This window comes from Homo sapiens, chromosome 8 (assembly GCF_000001405.40).
Source record: "Homo sapiens chromosome 8, GRCh38.p14 Primary Assembly".
Taxonomy (NCBI): domain Eukaryota; kingdom Metazoa; phylum Chordata; class Mammalia; order Primates; family Hominidae; genus Homo; species Homo sapiens.
This window is the reverse complement of record NC_000008.11, coordinates 116,835,021-116,852,422: the sequence shown is the minus strand read 5'-3', so window position 1 is coordinate 116,852,422 and position 17,402 is coordinate 116,835,021. Positions and strand designations below refer to the sequence as shown.

Below are 17,402 nucleotides of genomic sequence, written 5' to 3'. Positions count from 1 at the left end.
TGCATTGGATCTGATTGCCTTATTTAAGTATGAAGCCTCCTGTCTTTCCAGAGTTTTAAGGTTCAGAACTGGCAGGGTAGATAGTCTGCTAAAGAATTGTCCTACATTGTACTGAGGGTAGGACTTGTCCTTTTAAGATCCCCTTTCCCCTTTACGTATATTGCTAAAAATTGAGTAAATCTTTATGGAGCTAAAATTTTATCTGGCCTTCTTCATTAAAGAAAGCATTATGTATGTCTTAGTGTACTAGTTTAAAAAATAAATGGTTCTATAATACTGTTCAAAACTGTATGACCTATGTTTTCTCTTCATATGACCAATTGCAGATGAGCCCATTATTGAAGAGCCAAGCCGCCTCCAGGAGTCAGTGATGGAGGCCAGCAGAACAAACATAGATGAGTCAGCTATGCCTCCACCACCACCTCAGGGAGTTAAGCGAAAAGCTGGACAAATTGACCCAGAGCCTGTGATGCCTGTAAGTAAGCAAATCTATCCATTAAGTCATTTGAAGGTATTCATACAGTCAGTAGCAAGTGGTATTTAGGGAGGCCTTTTAAAGTATCTTGGTTTTGACAGAAAATGGTAAGGAATGAGTCCAGAGGAAGAAGAGCAACAGGATATAGACAGTCCACTCGGAGTGAGAGAATATGTTCTGGGAGTCGGTGCAGTCTTTCCTGACTCTTTTTGAATAGTATTGCTTTAGAGTGCTCCAGAGTGAGCATCCTTGACTCTGAAGTTGGTTCTGATTTATTATTTGGCAAACATTCCTGCACACCTTCAGTACTAGGCAGTTTTAGGTCATCTTATTAAGTAATCAGAATAAACTTCAAATACCTGAGAAAATGTAAAGCAGTATCTGTCTGCTTCATTCAAACTTTGACTACCATTGAGTTCAGCTAGGATAGGAAAGCTAAGCAAGTATGAAGGAGGAAATAGTAGGGTTTGGTTTAGGGCTTTCCAATCTTAAGTCCATAGAATAAATGAATTTGTGCAAAGGGAGGCTTTTAGATAACCTTAGGCTTCTTGTTCAGCCTCCATCAAGAATACTCTGCCAATTTTAAGAACTAGTTTTCTGTGCCCTCTGGTGGTAAGAGTTGTCAATAAGAGCATTTTTCTGTATGAGCTCAGGAATAGGAACACAGTAATGAGTAGGTGACTTTCATAACCACCCTCCTTCTGGTAATTCTTTAGTTTCTTTTAAAGACTTTGGTTTTAATGTTCTTAACTCTTTCTGTAAAGCCTGAGAGAAGATATAGGAAGTGGACCCAGAAAAGCAATGTCCTCACTCCTATTATTTGCTGCCGTGAGACATTCAAGACTCTCAGAGAGAAAGCTTATGATTTATAAGTTACAATATAATAACCTTACAGAAGCTTTAGTAGTTAAAAAGCATTTGACTCCTAAAAAGTAAGTATGAAAATGAAACATGGTTTAGGATAAGCAGTCAGTTTCTTTTGTAAGCTACTTCAATGTAGTTTTATAAAAAATCAAAAAAGATATATACTGTAATAAATTTTTCCTTGTGGGGAAGTATAGAGATATAATCTCAGTATTTCTTTTTGACTAGAAAACTTCAGCCACTGTGTATTTTCATATTTAAAATAAGCTACTTTAAAAGCATATATCTTAAATTGTCTTATTTGTATTGCTTTAAGCCTCAGCAGGTAGAGCAGATGGAAATACCACCTGTAGAGCTTCCCCCAGAAGAACCTCCAAATATCTGTCAGCTAATACCAGAGTTAGAACTTCTGCCAGAAAAAGAGAAGGAGAAAGAGAAGGAAAAAGAAGATGATGAAGAGGAAGAGGTAAACTAATTAATAATTTTCATTCCAGATTTAGCAAAAACCTCCAACCAGCTTTATTTTTCATATTGGGGCTAACTTAATTGATGCTGAGCATCAGAGTTATTTAAAAATGTTAGAATATAAGCAAAATTTTACCATATTCTTCGTGGTATTGATCATCATTAGGAACATCAAATTTTATGCTTCGCTGTAACTCATTGGCTCTCTTGTGGGGTTTTGAAGGACATGGAATTGTCCTTACACTGATTTCTTGCTTGGCTTCTAAATTGCGTGTAGCTGCTTTTACTATCTTGTGGTCAGTGGACGATTCTTACTGCTGTTATTGTCTGCTTCTGATATAACCTTTTCTGTATCTGTGGTGGCCTGGAAATCAGATAACCATATGTTTTCCACTTGTCTGGGTTTTGTTTTTGTTTTTCTTTTACTTGGACCAGGGTAAAGCATAACTTTGCTAAAACACTTAGACTGAGTGAAGGCTTAAATGACTTTTTCTTTTTACAAAGTAAGAGGTGTTTTAGGAATCAATTTCTTTTTCCTGGGGCATGTTTACACTGTTGAAGGTCTTTTTTCTTCTTTTTCTTCCTAATTTCTGGATCATTGAGGTTGTTGTTTAAGACTTAGAATTTATTCTTCTGTTTGATACTCTATCGGATATGTTACTTAAACCTTTAAATTTAAAATAAGGTGTCCTTTAGGTAGCATTGAAGCTGTTTAAATTTCTTCAAGACCAAAAAAGGTTATGGATTGGATAAATTTTCAGTAGCATCTGTTCTTAATTCTAATAATAGTGCTTATCTTTAATATGAATATCTTATTTTAAAGCCAAAATTAGTTTCAGAGCCACTTCTACCTATGTGTGAGGATGTGCCATTATCTCAGACTTAGTTGTGAATGAGTATTAAAATAGTTGTGGTTTCTGTTATGGCTGGTATATAGTTTCACCATAGCCTGGGAACATCACAACTGCTGCCTTGCACCCACCTTGGACTTTAAAAAGTCATTTAGGCAGCATGTGGCTGAGAACTAGGTTGCTCAAGTGAAATATATAATAAGGAGTATAGCCCATTCATTTTAAAACACCATATAAATCAACTTAGGTAGTCTGCAGGCTCTTTGGTACTGCTCCACAATGAGATTAAGAGTCTGCCAGAACATTAGTCATCTAGAAAATCATGTTGCAATATTTATGTATGTATATTTAGTTGAAATAAACAGTATATTTAGTGGTACAGTTGATTTATATCCTGAAGTTCTTTAAGAGGGGCCAGTAACCAAAACCTCCATGATCAGCAGCAGTCCACAGACCACATAGTGTGTGTAGATAGCATCCTTATAGCGCAATATAGAAGCATACTTTCAGCCAAATGTTTGCTTGCACATAGAGGACTTTGCCTTGTAATTTAAGAAAAACAGACTCTTCAGTTTGTACTCTAAATGCTAAGTGATTGCTCAGCAGCATTAAGTACAGTTTTCTATTAGTTCAAAATACACAATCTCAAGGTAATTTAGGAGCTTTTAGGAGATGTAGAAATACTTCATTTTTCATTGGACTTGTTTTGTCAGCTTTTTGGGGGTCATTTTTATTCAGGATGAAGATGCATCAGGGGGCGATCAAGATCAGGAAGAAAGAAGATGGAACAAAAGGACTCAGCAGATGCTTCATGGTCTTCAGGTATTGCCGCTGTTGTCTCAGAGGAAAATGCTTCATCAAAGGCTTTTGCCATTGTTCCCTGAAAAAAAAAAAGTTAGATGCTGGAAACAGAAAGCATACCTTTGTCAAACTTTTTCCAAAACTACATTTTTATTTATTTATTTATTTTTTCTGGAGGGAGAGTTTTCTTTTCTTTTTTTTTTTTATTATAGTTTAAGTTTTAATTAAATACATAAACTGTTAGGCCAAGAGTAAGCCGGAAAAGCATGGAGGAGAATGCTTGTGGTTTTCCTGAAAAGCAGAACCATGGTGACATACCACACAACTCCTTTGTATGCCTGCACCTTCTTGTTTTTTGTTGAGTAAATTTAATGTGCTGAATCATTAAATTTATTGGGTCATTGTGTAGCATCAGACGTTACTTTTCCTTGTGCTTTAATGTCCTAGACATAGACAGGATATCTTGAATGTCTGCAAAATGCCAAGCAAGTTGCTCAAGGTTTCTTAAAATAGGACAGTTGACATGTGTTTATTAATTTTTTACTTTAAAAACTATAAGTGCTAGATTTTACTACTATATTACATTAGCTGTCTAAAGAAATTGGTTATTTTAATAATACATGTCAGAACAATTTTGCTGGTTTCTTGGACTTTCTTATTTGGATTTTAGATGTACCATAACATACTTTGGCCTTTTACCCTCTTGATTAACATGAGAATCACATACTATTTAAAAAAGTGCAATCTTTGTCCTAAGCAGAATATATAGTTTGTTTTTTCCAGTAACCAAAATTAGCATCTGTGTTAGTCTGTTTTGTGTTGCTCTAAAGGAATACCTGAGTCTGGGTAATTTATAAAGAAGTTTATTTGGCTCACAGTTCTGCAGACTATACAAGAAGCAAAGCACCAGCATCTGCTTCTGGTGAGGCCTCAGAAAGCTTATAGTCATGGTGGAAGGCAAAGGGGGAGCAGGTGTGTCACATGGCAAGAGAGGGCATGAGAGAGATGGCTAGGCGCTTTTAAACAAGCAGCTCTTGTGTTAACTAACGAGCAAGAATTCACTGATTGCCACAGGGAGTGATTGATAAGGGATCCACCACCACCCCCATCCCCACCCCATGACACAAACACCTCACTAGGCTCCATCTCTAACACTGGGAAATTACGTTTCAGCATGAGATTTGGAGGGGACAAATATTCAAACTGTATCAGCATCCTCACTGAATTACTACTTTATTATACAGATTAAGTTACCCTTTTTTGGTTTTATTTCAGCGTGCTCTTGCTAAAACTGGAGCTGAATCTATCAGTTTGCTTGAGTTATGTCGAAATACGAACAGAAAACAAGCTGCCGCAAAGTTCTACAGCTTCTTGGTTCTTAAAAAGCAGCAAGCTATTGAGCTGACACAGGAAGAACCGTACAGTGACATCATCGCAACACCTGGACCAAGGTTCCATATTATATAAGGAGCTAGAAGCATTATAGCTAGTGTTTGATTCACTAGTGCTTACAAATTGCCCCCATGTGTAGGGGACACAGAACCCTTTGAGAAAACTTAGATTTTTGTCTGTACAAAGTCTTTGCCTTTTTCCTTCTTCATTTTTTTCCAGTACATTAAATTTGTCAATTTCATCTTTGAGGGAAACTGATTAGATGGGTTGTGTTTGTGTTCTGATGGAGAAAACAGCACCCCAAGGACTCAGAAGATGATTTTAACAGTTCAGAACAGATGTGTGCAATATTGGTGCATGTAATAATGTTGAGTGGCAGTCAAAAGTCATGATTTTTATCTTAGTTCTTCATTACTGCATTGAAAAGGAAAACCTGTCTGAGAAAATGCCTGACAGTTTAATTTAAAACTATGGTGTAAGTCTTTGACAAGAAAAAAAAACAAACAAACACTTCTTTCCATCAGTAACACTGGCAATCTTCCTGTTAACCACTCTCCTTAGGGATGGTATCTGAAACAACAATGGTCACCCTCTTGAGATTCGTTTTAAGTGTAATTCCATAATGAGCAGAGGTGTACGCGAAATTGTGTTATGACTGATAGCCTTCAGCTACAAAAAGATAGGACTGACCTGGTTTAAAGTGTTCTATTTTGTAAATCATTCCATTTGAGTCTTTCTGATGAACTTGGCTATACTGAAATCTGTTATTTTAGTGAGGCTCCAAAATGAGCAAAGCTAGGCCTGATTAGAGTAGAGTGACTATTAAAAAACATAACTTTCTAGGAGCTATAAATCAAAGTTTTAAAAAGATGTTTGGATATATTTGAGTATTCCGATCATGAAAACAGAAATTGCCCTGCCTACTACAAGGACAGACTGATGGGAAATTATGCACCTGGTCAACTTAGCTTTTAAGCAGACGATGCTGTAAAAACTAACGGCTTCTCTGATATTTATTGTAAGTTTTAGTACTGATCTCCTTTTCCAGTGCTGCACACTCCTGGTTTGGAACTTTAATAGCGTTGCAACGAAATCCTATATCCAGTTTCCTGTAATTTAATTGAAGAAAAATACATCCAAATAAAGACTTTATTATTAACAGACCAGATAGCATCAGAAATCATGTGACTGTTATGATTATCAGAATGTCTTAACTTTTTAGGGCAAAGTTAACACTGAAAGTTCTAGCTTAAGTGTTGAAACTTTTGTGGGAAAAAAAAATCACTTTTGAAACTCAGACTTCAGTGTATACCCAATAATTTAAAATTATGTGAAATGTTTTAAATTTGTGAACTCGTAATTACTGTTTTAATGATTCAGTTTCTTCAGAGTGGTAATTGTATAAAATTGCTATTGCAGCTTTACATTCAATATGATGTGCCTGTAAACCAAGGAGTTTTCCCCGTTTGTAAAAAGACATTGTAGATAATTGAATGTTTGATTTTAGAAAGGTCATTAGTTTCTTGTTACACATTTTGTTAGTCTGGTTTTTGTTGCTTATCGGGTTTAATATTGTTCTTGAAAATAGTTGATGCTATGTTATGTATAACTTTTCTAATAAAAGTTGTGTTATAAGCTGTACTTTTTTGAGTATTCATTATTCAGTTGGTGGTGGTCCCCAAGGGAAAGTTGGCTGAAAAAGTTAATAGAGCCAAACACTTCGTTTGTTTGCCTTATCTAGAATAGTTATCCATACAAACCAAATGAATTTTTCAAAAGAAAGAGGTCTTAGACTAAAAAATGGAAGACAGACTAGCTTGTCTCCAACCTTCTTTGTTAACAGAACTAGGTGATCTGAAATTTTAATAAATATATAATTGTTATGTGTGAAGGTATTAAGATTAAAAATGAAACCAACAAATGGCTGGTACAGAGGAAGCTTTGGGGCATAAATATATCTCTGTAACTGCTAAGTACATACAAACTGACATGCTATGTGTGTACATCCTTGGTGCTCCAAACAAGCTAGGTGGGTAGGCAGGTGCTAGAAATATCCTAGGTCAATCTGAGAAGCCAAACTCAAAACCAGGACGTTCAGTAACCTGACATGTACCCACTTTTACATTCTAGCCTCTGACTAGGCCTGTTGCCCCTGCCCCCGCTCCGGCCCCCACTGTGAGCTTTAAAGCCCTGCGATTTTATGGTTTAAACCCTGATTTGAGTGTAAATTTGTTGCTGTTTTTAAAAGAAAAAAATCAGATTTTACTAAGCATCAATTATCCTGAAACCCAAAGCAGCTTGAATTTGGGGCTCACTGCCATAGATGCCTCTAGTAAAGAATTATGATTAATGTGAAAGTGCTGAGAGCCTAGAATACAGCATGCCACAGTACCTGGGGGAAGTTCAGAAATAAAAGATTCTCAGATGATAAAAAGCTTTTGCTAAAATTGAAAAGATGGCTTGGCATAGTGAGTAAAGTGAAATGATGTTTAGCTAGAGCAGAACCATGCGTGTTTGAATTCAAAGGCCTAGGTGTAGACAGTAGAATCCAGTCTCTTGACTGTCCTGAAACTTGGAGTTACCAGAGTGGTACAGTGGGAAGAGCAATGGGCCAGAGGCCTAGGCCCCAGGCTGTAATCTTAATTTGATTATAGAACCTGAAACTTCATAAGTGTCATTCTGTATCTGGGTCTAAAAGTGAAAGTCGAGTCCCACCGATTTCCAAGAGTTGTGAAAACCCTATGAGCTAATTAAAAGCAGTTTGAAAAGCAGCTAACATTTGTATGATGAAGATAACATTGGCTTTCATTCAGGCCGCTTAGGTGCACGCACTTGGGCAAGGTTTTAAACTTGGATTCTAATTCTAAAGTACGTCGTGAGGTGGACATCTCTACTTGGAGGAACTACATACACTTTAACTTAGTTTCTCTAAAACTGAATTAATTCTACTTTACTACTTTAGACCTTCCTAATGCTTCATCTTTGGTGAGTGGCTCCTTCACCTTCGATGTCCTCTCGACCTGGTGCTTCAGTGTTCTATATTTCAAATAACCATTCCTGTGCTCACACTATTGAAGACTTGCAGAGATGACTTCAACAGCTCCAGCTACTCAAAATTTAGACTGTTACCTCCAAATACATTAGAGTCAACTGGCAAGTCAGCAGAGGGACTTTTAAACAGGTAGGACAGGAAGGTTTTTATTTCAAGACCATGCCCTAGCAGCCATCTGCCCTGCTTTCTGTATTCCCCCAGCTGTCTTCCCAGCTGTGCTCTAGGTCATGTGTGCAAACGCTTAGTGGCCAGGCAGGTCATGGAAATGAGTGAAGCAGCCAGGTGACTAGCAGTGGAGGGTGAGGAGGAACAGTGCTGAACTGGATGAAACGGCAGGGGCTCCCTTTGAGCTGAGCACAGTGTCTGCTCAAATGTCACTAACTGCTGGTTCAGAAAAGGAGACAGAATATTGCCTCATTGCCTCAGGAAAGGCCAGAGGTCCAGATTCTTCTCACTCCTGATTTTAAAACGTGATAAATGATTCAAAACTGTTTCAATACCATGCGGGCCACCCATACCTTGGCAGACAGATCCAGCTCATAAACCTCAGGTTTGTGGCTTCTGTTGAGCTGACTTTGAGGACCACAAGGAAAGCAAGTTGTGCCACTTAAAGAAGCAAGGCTTTCTGGGCTCTTTCCTGTCACTGCTTCAAAGGCCACAGGCTGGCTGATTCCTCTTAAAGAATGCTGTCCAATTTTTTTAAGGCCCTATTTGATGTTCCATGCCCATAGGCAGTATCCTCACCTGACTTTATACTTCATGTGCGCCCTGCTAACTTTGTGTGACAGCTGTTGTATAACATTCCCAACCTAGTGGAAATGTCTTCTGAAAAGCAGGACTCGAAAAATGTAAACCTAAAGACAAAAGTCTAATTTCTTCATATCTTCCAAAGCCAAACAATGCAGGGATTCTCAGATGTTAGTTAGCTCAAGAGTCAGATGGAAGATTGTAAACCTGTAGGCTTGACATTTAGCCAGGGAATTCTCATACAATTCAAGAGAATGAAGCTCTCCAACTTGAGCAAACCGGTACACTGTTATTTCTAGAAGGCATCTGGCCAAAGGGGTTCTCAGGTCCTGTTCTAATTACCCCAGCTGTGACAGTCTCCTATTTGCTATGAAAATGAGTTAAGGGCACCAATGGGTGGCCAGTAATCATACCAGCAATGATCATCAAAACAGCAACACAGCTTCTCTAATTAATGGAGTGAGTTTGGTCCAGTGGTTGAGAACATGGGTTGGAATCCAAGAGAGGTGAGTTCAGGATTAGGTCTGCCTCTAACTAGGAACTGTGGTGACCATCTTAACTTCTTTAACTCTTGGTTCTCTCCTGAGGAAGCTCGTAAGGCTCCTGTGAGGATTAAATAACATAATGCAAGGAAAGCACACAGTGCCTGGCCAGTGGTCGCCGCTATATATTAGCTGTTTTTCAGGCCAAAATACTTACTGAATGCTTTGCTCTGAACAAGGAATGATACTACAACTAAGTGTACTGATGTGAACAAAACACAGAGTTGCTGTAAGTTTTGGTAAGTTTTTGGTAAGTTCAAGAAAGGACATCTCCAAAGAAGTAAACCTTCCTTCAATTCCCCTAGAGAAACTATTCCCCCATCTTCTCTATTTCCATGATATTTTATTCATAACTGATAAAACTTTTCACAATATGTCATACTTTACCTGTCTACTTCTCTTGACTAGCTGACTATGGATTTTTGGAAGACTTGTCTATAATTCCAGAACTACCTAATCCAGTGTGTGACTCTGAGTTAGGGTGCAATCAGTCTTACTGGCTTCAGCATGACCATCGTAAAGGATGAAAATAAAATAACTCCTATGAAGCCAATTTCTGTGAAAATTGGTTTTGAGAATAGAATATGAATTCTTAGAGTTTCTAAACATACAGTTCCTGTAAACTTTGGTAAGTGTGTGTTATTTTGCTTAGAAAACAAAGGGGCCGGGCACAGTGTCTCACGCCTGTAATCCCAGCACTTTGGGAGACGAAGGCTGGCGGGTTGCCTGAGGTCAGGAGTTTGAGATCAGCCTGGACAACATACTGAAACCCCATCTCTACTAAAAATACAAAAAAATTAGCCGGGCATGGTGGCACGTGCTTGTAATCCCAGCTACTTGGGAGGCCGAGGCAGGGGAACCGCTTGAACCCGGGAGGCGGAGGTTGCAGTCAGCCGAAATCACGCCACTGCACTCCAGCCGGGGTGACAGAGCTAGACTCCTTCCCCTCAAACCCCCTGCAAAAAAAAAAAAAAAAAAAAAAAAAACGGGAGAATAATTTATCTACCGCCTTCCATCTCCCACCAGTCAAAGATTTGCTCTTGGAACATTAGTTACCCATTTCTTCCAGGGCCACCAAGCTAACCCCTACCTCACCTATCAAAAGGCTCTTATGGGTATGTCCTTTTGAAATTGATTCAGAGCCCTGCTAGCCGACGTGGCTGGATCAGAACAAATGGCTAATGGCCCCGGATTCAGTTGCTACATTGACCAGTTTGGAAGCAAGCACCTCAGAGTTTAAATATGTGGTAAAATACAGGAGAATACTTGATTTGGGATTCCAAATCCCTACAATAATTCTTGGGTATGAAACCTTGCTTTCCAGAAAACAACAGTGTCATTTTCTTCATGCTGTTTGGGAGGTTATAGCAGCTGGTAAATTCTGAGTTTCTTTCCCCCAAGCCATCCAAAATTTGTTTAGATTGACTCTGCTGAAATAACAGAGACTGCCAGATTCCCTTGATTATAGGAGTTGTGTACGCAATGTCATCCTCTGCTCTACCAAGCCCCATGATCACAATGAGTGCTAAACAAGATAATGTATGCACATATACTTTGCAATCGGGAAAGCTCCATAAAGGTAGTTGCTATAATAACAAGGTAGCTTCCTTGGGAAGAAGAGTCCTCATATGAGATGAAGCTAACATTATGCCTTCATTTGAAAATCAATTTCAGCAAGGTAAGAGGATACAAGATAGTTCGGGTTGATTTCTTGGGGGAACCACTGCAAGTGTTACAAGCTTAAACTTCTCAGGGAATTTCAGCACTTAAGGCTTTTCTTGAAGGGACTCTGGGGCAGAAGCAGCTTTCCCCAAATTTCTTGAAACTTTGTCCCCGTTGATAGTCTCCATAAACATAACACTAAGGGATAAAATTAATGAAGAAAAGGGGGATTTCAACTCAACATTTATTGAACACCAGACACCATGCTAGGTGCTAATAGCATACAAAGACATAATCCTTGTGATTATACCTTGAAAGATTAGAAGGAAACAATGAGTGGCATTTAAACTACACCTTGAAGAATTAGTGGGATTTATTCAACAGGTGGCGTGCAAGGGACAGGAAGAAAGGGTGTTCCAGGAAGAAAGAATAGCACAGGCAAAGGCATGGAGGTAGAAAGGAATGGCACTGATTTGGAAGACCAAATGTAAGCAAGCAAAGCCAACGTAGCAGTCAGAGGACAGAAATCACTCTCAGGCTAAGCAGCTTGGCTAAATTTGCTACCAATTATTAGGCTCAAAGACCACCTTGACTTCAGATAGTCTGCTGTGCATTTGTATGTTTATAAGAAGTGTGGCCTCTCCTACAACAGCCTTTTTGGCTTTTAATCAGATCCTGTAGGTTTGTTTTCGTTCTCTCTCTTTTTTTTTTTTTTTAACCTCCACAAACCAAACAGAATAGAAAGTTGAAAAACATTTCCAGACAAGAGTGTGCTTGAGGAGTGGAACCATTTTTATAATTCCTTCTGGTTCCAGTTTTGTTTGCATATGAGCCTTACTGCCAGGAAACCTGAGTGGGCCCATCATGACTCTGGAGGCCACAGGGGTGTCTCACACTGACAGCCTGGGAGCATCAGGGGAACACTGAGCCCTGGAAAATCATGTAGGAGAAGAAAGAGCTGGAGGCTTCCAATGTCCTCAGACCCTTCCCTGGGTTGCTGACAGGGGCAGTCATGGCCAGGATTGGCAGAAGGGGTAGGACCAAAGGTAGAGGGGGGAAGGGCATACAGTTCAACAACAAGCTTTCCTGGAACAAGCTTTTCTTCTTCCTTGAGCAGAGTGTACAGCAGAATGCCTTCAGGATGGCTCAACAGGTTAAGAGCTTAGGCACAAATGGTTAAGAGCTTAGGCACAGTCACTTTTGCTCTTAGAAGAATTACATAGTGATAATAATGCTACAACTTATTTCCCACTTAATAATAATAATAATAATAATATACTTATTATGGCTAGAATTTGTGAAATACTTTCTATGAGCCAGCACAATGTTAATCATGTCACATGCATTCATCTTCCCAACATCTCTATGAGGTAAATCATACTATTATTATCATAACTTTATCAACAGATGTGGAAACTCAATATGGCCTAGACTATAATTGTCATTGAAGATTCCATTTGTTCCTCTATATTTCGCAGCTCAGCTAAAGTTAGGCGAGGTCACATGACAAGTTCTGGCCAATGGGCTCTGAGAAGAAGTGAAGCACAGCTCTGAATTAAGGCAGTGAAAGCCCATGTGCACGTCTCCTCCATCTCTTCCTTTCCTGGACCCCTGGTGGTTAAGGAGGGTAGAAATGCCACAGAAACTACTAGGTGATGGAACCTCCATCAGGCTGGGTCCCTGAGTGACCAGAGGGAACAGAGCCTTTTCGCAGACCTGGAATAGATACACACGAGGACCAAGAGATAAGCCTTTGTTGTGTGAAGCCACTGAGAGGTCATTGTTAATTTATTATTGCTACGTAACCTAGTGTATCCAGGTAATACACTGAGGCCTCAAGAAGTTTAGTAACTATAGATTGAGTTAAGTGATTATGCTGGAACTAGAACCGCAATTTCCTGGTTCCCAGACAAGTCTTTTTTTCTACTACACAAATCCGAATCTGTGATAAGGGCCATAGCTTCCATTGCACCATCCACTCTGGTGTGTAGGAATGACTTCGGAACCTATCCATGAAAGACCCAACACATTTGGGATGACTCTTCATGGCAGCTAATCTATGAGCTCTGACAGGGAAGGCTGGTTAGAGGCAGATGTGCAGACTGAATTTCAAAGTAGACCCTGCTTGTGACAAAGCTTAACTGTCACTAAAGCTATTTTACAAGCACAGTGGTCGCCAAATAGCCTCACAAAGTAACAGAAATTTACCATGGTTCAGACCCTAAGGCTTGCCCAATTTGCTTTTTTTTTTTTTTTTTCCTTCAGACAGGGTCTCACTCTGTCATCCAGGCTATAGCGCAGTGGTGCAATCATGGCTCACTGTAGCCTCAACTTCCTGGGCTCAAGCAAATCTCCCATCTCAGCAGCCCAAAGTGCTGAGATTACAGGCGTGAGCCACTGCACCAGCCTGGGGCTTACCCAATTGGCTAAGGAAACTCCAAGCAGATTCTTTGCTCTGAATGCTCCAACTTGGAGTATCCAGATCATAGGAGACTTAAATCAGAAATCCAATTTATTGACTGGGACTGGAGATCAGTGATATCCAAGACACCATTCCTGCCCTATCACAGTGTCTTAGGAGACACAGATGAATAAGAATGCAATTGAAACAATTTTATAGATGCCGGATTGGGCTATGCAGCAGGTATTAGGGACTCGGATTGGGGAGTCAGGAAACATTTCTGGACGAAGTGACAAATACTGAGCCTTGAAGGATGCCCAAGAGTTAGGAAAGGAGAGTGGCAAGCAGAGTTCTGGTTTAAAGGGACAGTATGGGTGATGGTTCAGGGGGTGAACAAGCTTGCTGAGCTGTTTCCCTCCACAGAGTGCAGAAAAATAGGGCCTTTCTGGAAGCAAGAGAAAGGCTGTCTATTACCTGGGCTTCTAGGTGAGTAGCCAGGAAGGGGAGAAACGGCTTGAGATTCTGTTTGCTCTCAATCTTTGTCCATCCCAAAATGCAGAACACTAAGTCTAGTGGCCTGGGACACATTTTAGTTTGTCTTTTGATCCTTGACAGTATTTAAGACATGTTGAGGGTGGGCACAACGGCTCATACCTGTAAATCACAGCACTTTGGGAGGCTGAGGCGGGAGGGTCACTTGAGCCCAGAAGTTCAAGACCAGCCCGGAAAACATAGTGGGATCCCTTCTCTACAAAAAAAAAAAAAAAAAAAAAAAAAAAAAAAAAAAAAAAAAAAAAAGGCCAGGCCAGGTGGCACACGCCTGTGTCCCAGCTACTTGGAAGGCTGAGGTAGGAGAATTGCTTGAGCCAGGGAGTTTAAGGCTGCAGTGAGCCATAATGATGCCAATGCACTCCAGCCTGGAAGACAGAGCAAGACTCTGTCTCTAAAACATAAATGAATAAATTCAAGTTATTAATTTACAATAAGAAATATAGTTGTCACATGGCTCACAATGATTTTGTTGGCCTGACTAATCAGCACATTCTCACAGTTAATGCAATTGATCACTAGTTCATCCCCGAGACTAATTCTTGACCTGGCTTCTGCAATATCTCACTCTTAATCTCTTTGATGTTTGTTTTTCCTGCTTCACTGGAAGCTTATTCTTAAATTCCTTCTTAAATTCCTTTGTTGATTCCTCTTCATCTCCCAGTTCTTAATACTGAAATACCCCAAGGCTTAGTCCATGACTTCTCTTTTCCGTCTTTACATTCCCATAGTAATTTCTTCCACTCTCAGGACTTTAAATACCATCTACATGCTGATGACTTTTAACTTGATGTTTCCCTCCAGCTGTGACTTTTCTCTTGAACTCTTGGCTGACTGATTGATATCTTCCCTGGGATATCTAACAGACATCTCAAATTTACCATCTCCAGAGCTGACCTCCTCATCTTCACCCACAAATGAGCTCTTCTGCTCCTTCACCATCATAATTAGTCGAACTGTCCTATCAGTTGCTCAGACCCACAACCTTGGAATAGCCCTTGACTCATCAGTTTCTCTCACACGCACCACTTCATGCCCTCCGACAAATCCCACTGCTCTAGCTTCAAAAAATAGCTAGAACTTGACCACTTTTTACCACCTTTATTGCTACTATCCAAGTTCAAATCACCATCCTCTCTTTCCCTAGATCATTGCAGCAGCCTCCCAACTGGGGTTCCTTTCCATTAGCATACTCCCCTCCCTCAAACTCTTCCCAACACAGAAGTCAGAGTGATTATGTTTGTCAGATCACGTCATCCCTCTGTTCAAAACCTCCCGATGGCTTCCCATCTCTCGGAGTAAACGACAGTCATTACAATGGACAATAAGGTCCCATGCAACTTCTGTAGGTCCTGGTTCCTATAGTAATTCCTTTTCCCCCTGCCCCATGCCATTATCTCTCTGATCGCATTTTCTACCACTATCCCCCCTGCTCACTCCACTCCTTGTTATGTCTAGAACAAGCCTCCTTGTTATGTCTAGAACAAGCCAAACCCATCCCACTTCAACATATTTCTACTGGCTACTTCCTTTGCCCAGAACGGTCTTCCCTCAGATGGCTACATGGCTCATTTCCTCGCCTTCTTCAAGTCTTTGTTTAAATTGATCTTCTCAAAGAGGGTTTGCCTGACCAACATAACAAAAATGGAAACACCCCTAGCAATTCCAATACCTCTCCTCTGCTTTAGTTTTCTCCATGGCCCACAATTAAAGTACTATGTAGTGTGTGTGCGTGCGTGTGTGTGTGTGTGTGTGTGCATGTGTGTGTGCGTGCCCGTACATGCATGGATCTCCGTTAGAATAAATGATAAATGTAAACTTCATGAGGGCTGGGGGTTTTGTTTTATTAATTCACCCCTGTATCTTCAAGACCTAAACAAAAATCCCTAAAGCATAGAAGATTTTTGATACCTGTTTTAGATAAATAATTATTCTACAGCTTATACATATAGCAAACTATGTGTAGAATATTGCCTGGTGAGCATGGATTTGAACAGGGACAGTATCTGATGAGCTAAATATTTTAATGGCATCATTTTAGAATGCAGATGTACCTGTCATAGTGACCAAAGTATTCCAGTCTGTTTGGCCACTGATTTTCCACTGCCAATGTTATCTTTCAGGAATGAAGTAATTCCCCTGAAAAATTGATCTATTTGTTTTCTTCAAACATATTGTTATCATCAACCTGGTGATAGTTGAAGCTTACTTTGGTTAAGGAACCATTCTCTATCTTCTGTAGAGTTACATTGTGTCCATTATGTGCTGATTGTTAATTTGACTCTCAAAGAACAGCTCCATTTGAAGTCCCCTGTTCCCAAGTTCTTGAGAGCACTGCCCCTTTATGGGGAGTTCATTCTCACATTTTTCTCCTAGGTTCTGTTCAGCTGAATTAAGTTCTTCCTTACCACAACATCTGGCAAAGATGGCAATGGGTGTTTAGGTAGGTGAGCACGCACTCTTGTGTAGCATCATTTTATCTTTGGCATCAAATAGATGCTTGTACAAATTTCAACCAGCAGGGGATCCTGTAGTCTGATTGTCCTTTTCTATCCCTGTATGCTTTCCTAAGATGTGGGGTAAAACTTCATGATCAATGATGATGGGAGAAACCCTCTCATTGTCTCACACACACAGGATTACGCTAACCAATTATAGATTGGTTTCTACCTTCAGCACTAATTGATACTACTGGTCAATTCCTTCACCAGTGCCTGTACTTTTAATGATTAATTTAAAAGACTCTCCCCAAATCTGCTCACACTCCCTCCCTCGGCCTCCTTAAATTTAGCAGACAACTTGCTACGTGCTTTAAGGAAACATTCAGGCACTCACTCTTGTATTTGTGGTCAGCTGGTGGTCCATAGTCTCCCTCACGTGTCTGGTATTCGGTGGCTGTGTTCAAGGACGATGGACATAACTAGACAATGTGCCACATACAATCTAGCAGGCTAACCCAGGCTTAAGAGGGTTTTCAAGAGCAGCAAGTGAGAACAAGCCCCAATGCACAAACGTGGTTCAAAGCTCAGCTTTTTATCATGTTTGTTATTGTCCAAATAGCCTAAATAGCCAAAGCAAATCAATTTTTTTTTTTGAGATGGAGTCTCGCTCTGTTGCCCAGGCTGGAGGGCAGTGGCAAGATCTTGGCTCGCTGCAACCTCCGCCTCCCAGGTTCAAGTGATTCTCCTGCCTCAGCCTCCTGAGTAGCTGGGATTACAGGCGCGTACCACCACGCCCGGCTAATTTTTATATCTTTAGTAGAGCCATGTTGGCCAGGCTGGTCTCAAACTCCTGACCTCAAGTGATCTGCCCACCTGAGCCTCCTAAAGTGCTGGGATTACATGTGTGGGCCACCGTACCTGACCACAAATCAAATTTCTAAGCCCAGACTCAGTATGAGAGGGTGGTACTCAAGCAGTGTGGATTCGGGGAAGGGGATTATTATTGTGGACATTTGAAAAAATAATCTAACATGATGTTGTTGTTGTTGTTTTAAACTATTTGGGAGCCCTCTGTACTATAATTCTCCTGAAAGCAATTTTTAAAATTTGAATAATTCAGGGTAACACCAGAAAAAAAAAAAAAAAAACTTCTTCCCTGT

General features: G+C 40.1%; 1 protein-coding gene and 1 long non-coding RNA gene across 2 annotated transcripts in view; one reads left to right on the top strand and one right to left on the bottom strand.

Moving 5' to 3' along the window:
* The window catches only part of RAD21 (RAD21 cohesin complex component), a 28,843-nt gene extending 22,354 nt beyond the window's left edge, over positions 1-6,489 (top strand). The window contains exons 11-14 of the mRNA NM_006265.3: positions 327-475; positions 1,656-1,805; positions 3,394-3,477; positions 4,732-6,489. Of these exons, the coding sequence (NP_006256.1) occupies positions 327-475; positions 1,656-1,805; positions 3,394-3,477; positions 4,732-4,923 (575 nt within the window). The 3' untranslated portion in view covers positions 4,924-6,489. The remainder of the gene's footprint in view (positions 1-326; positions 476-1,655; positions 1,806-3,393; positions 3,478-4,731) is intronic.
* LOC112268030 (uncharacterized) overlaps positions 1,835-17,402 on the bottom strand; it is a 71,615-nt gene continuing 56,047 nt past the window's right edge. The window contains exon 3 of the long non-coding RNA XR_002956724.2: positions 1,835-3,535. This is a non-coding gene — a long non-coding RNA (uncharacterized LOC112268030). The remainder of the gene's footprint in view (positions 3,536-17,402) is intronic.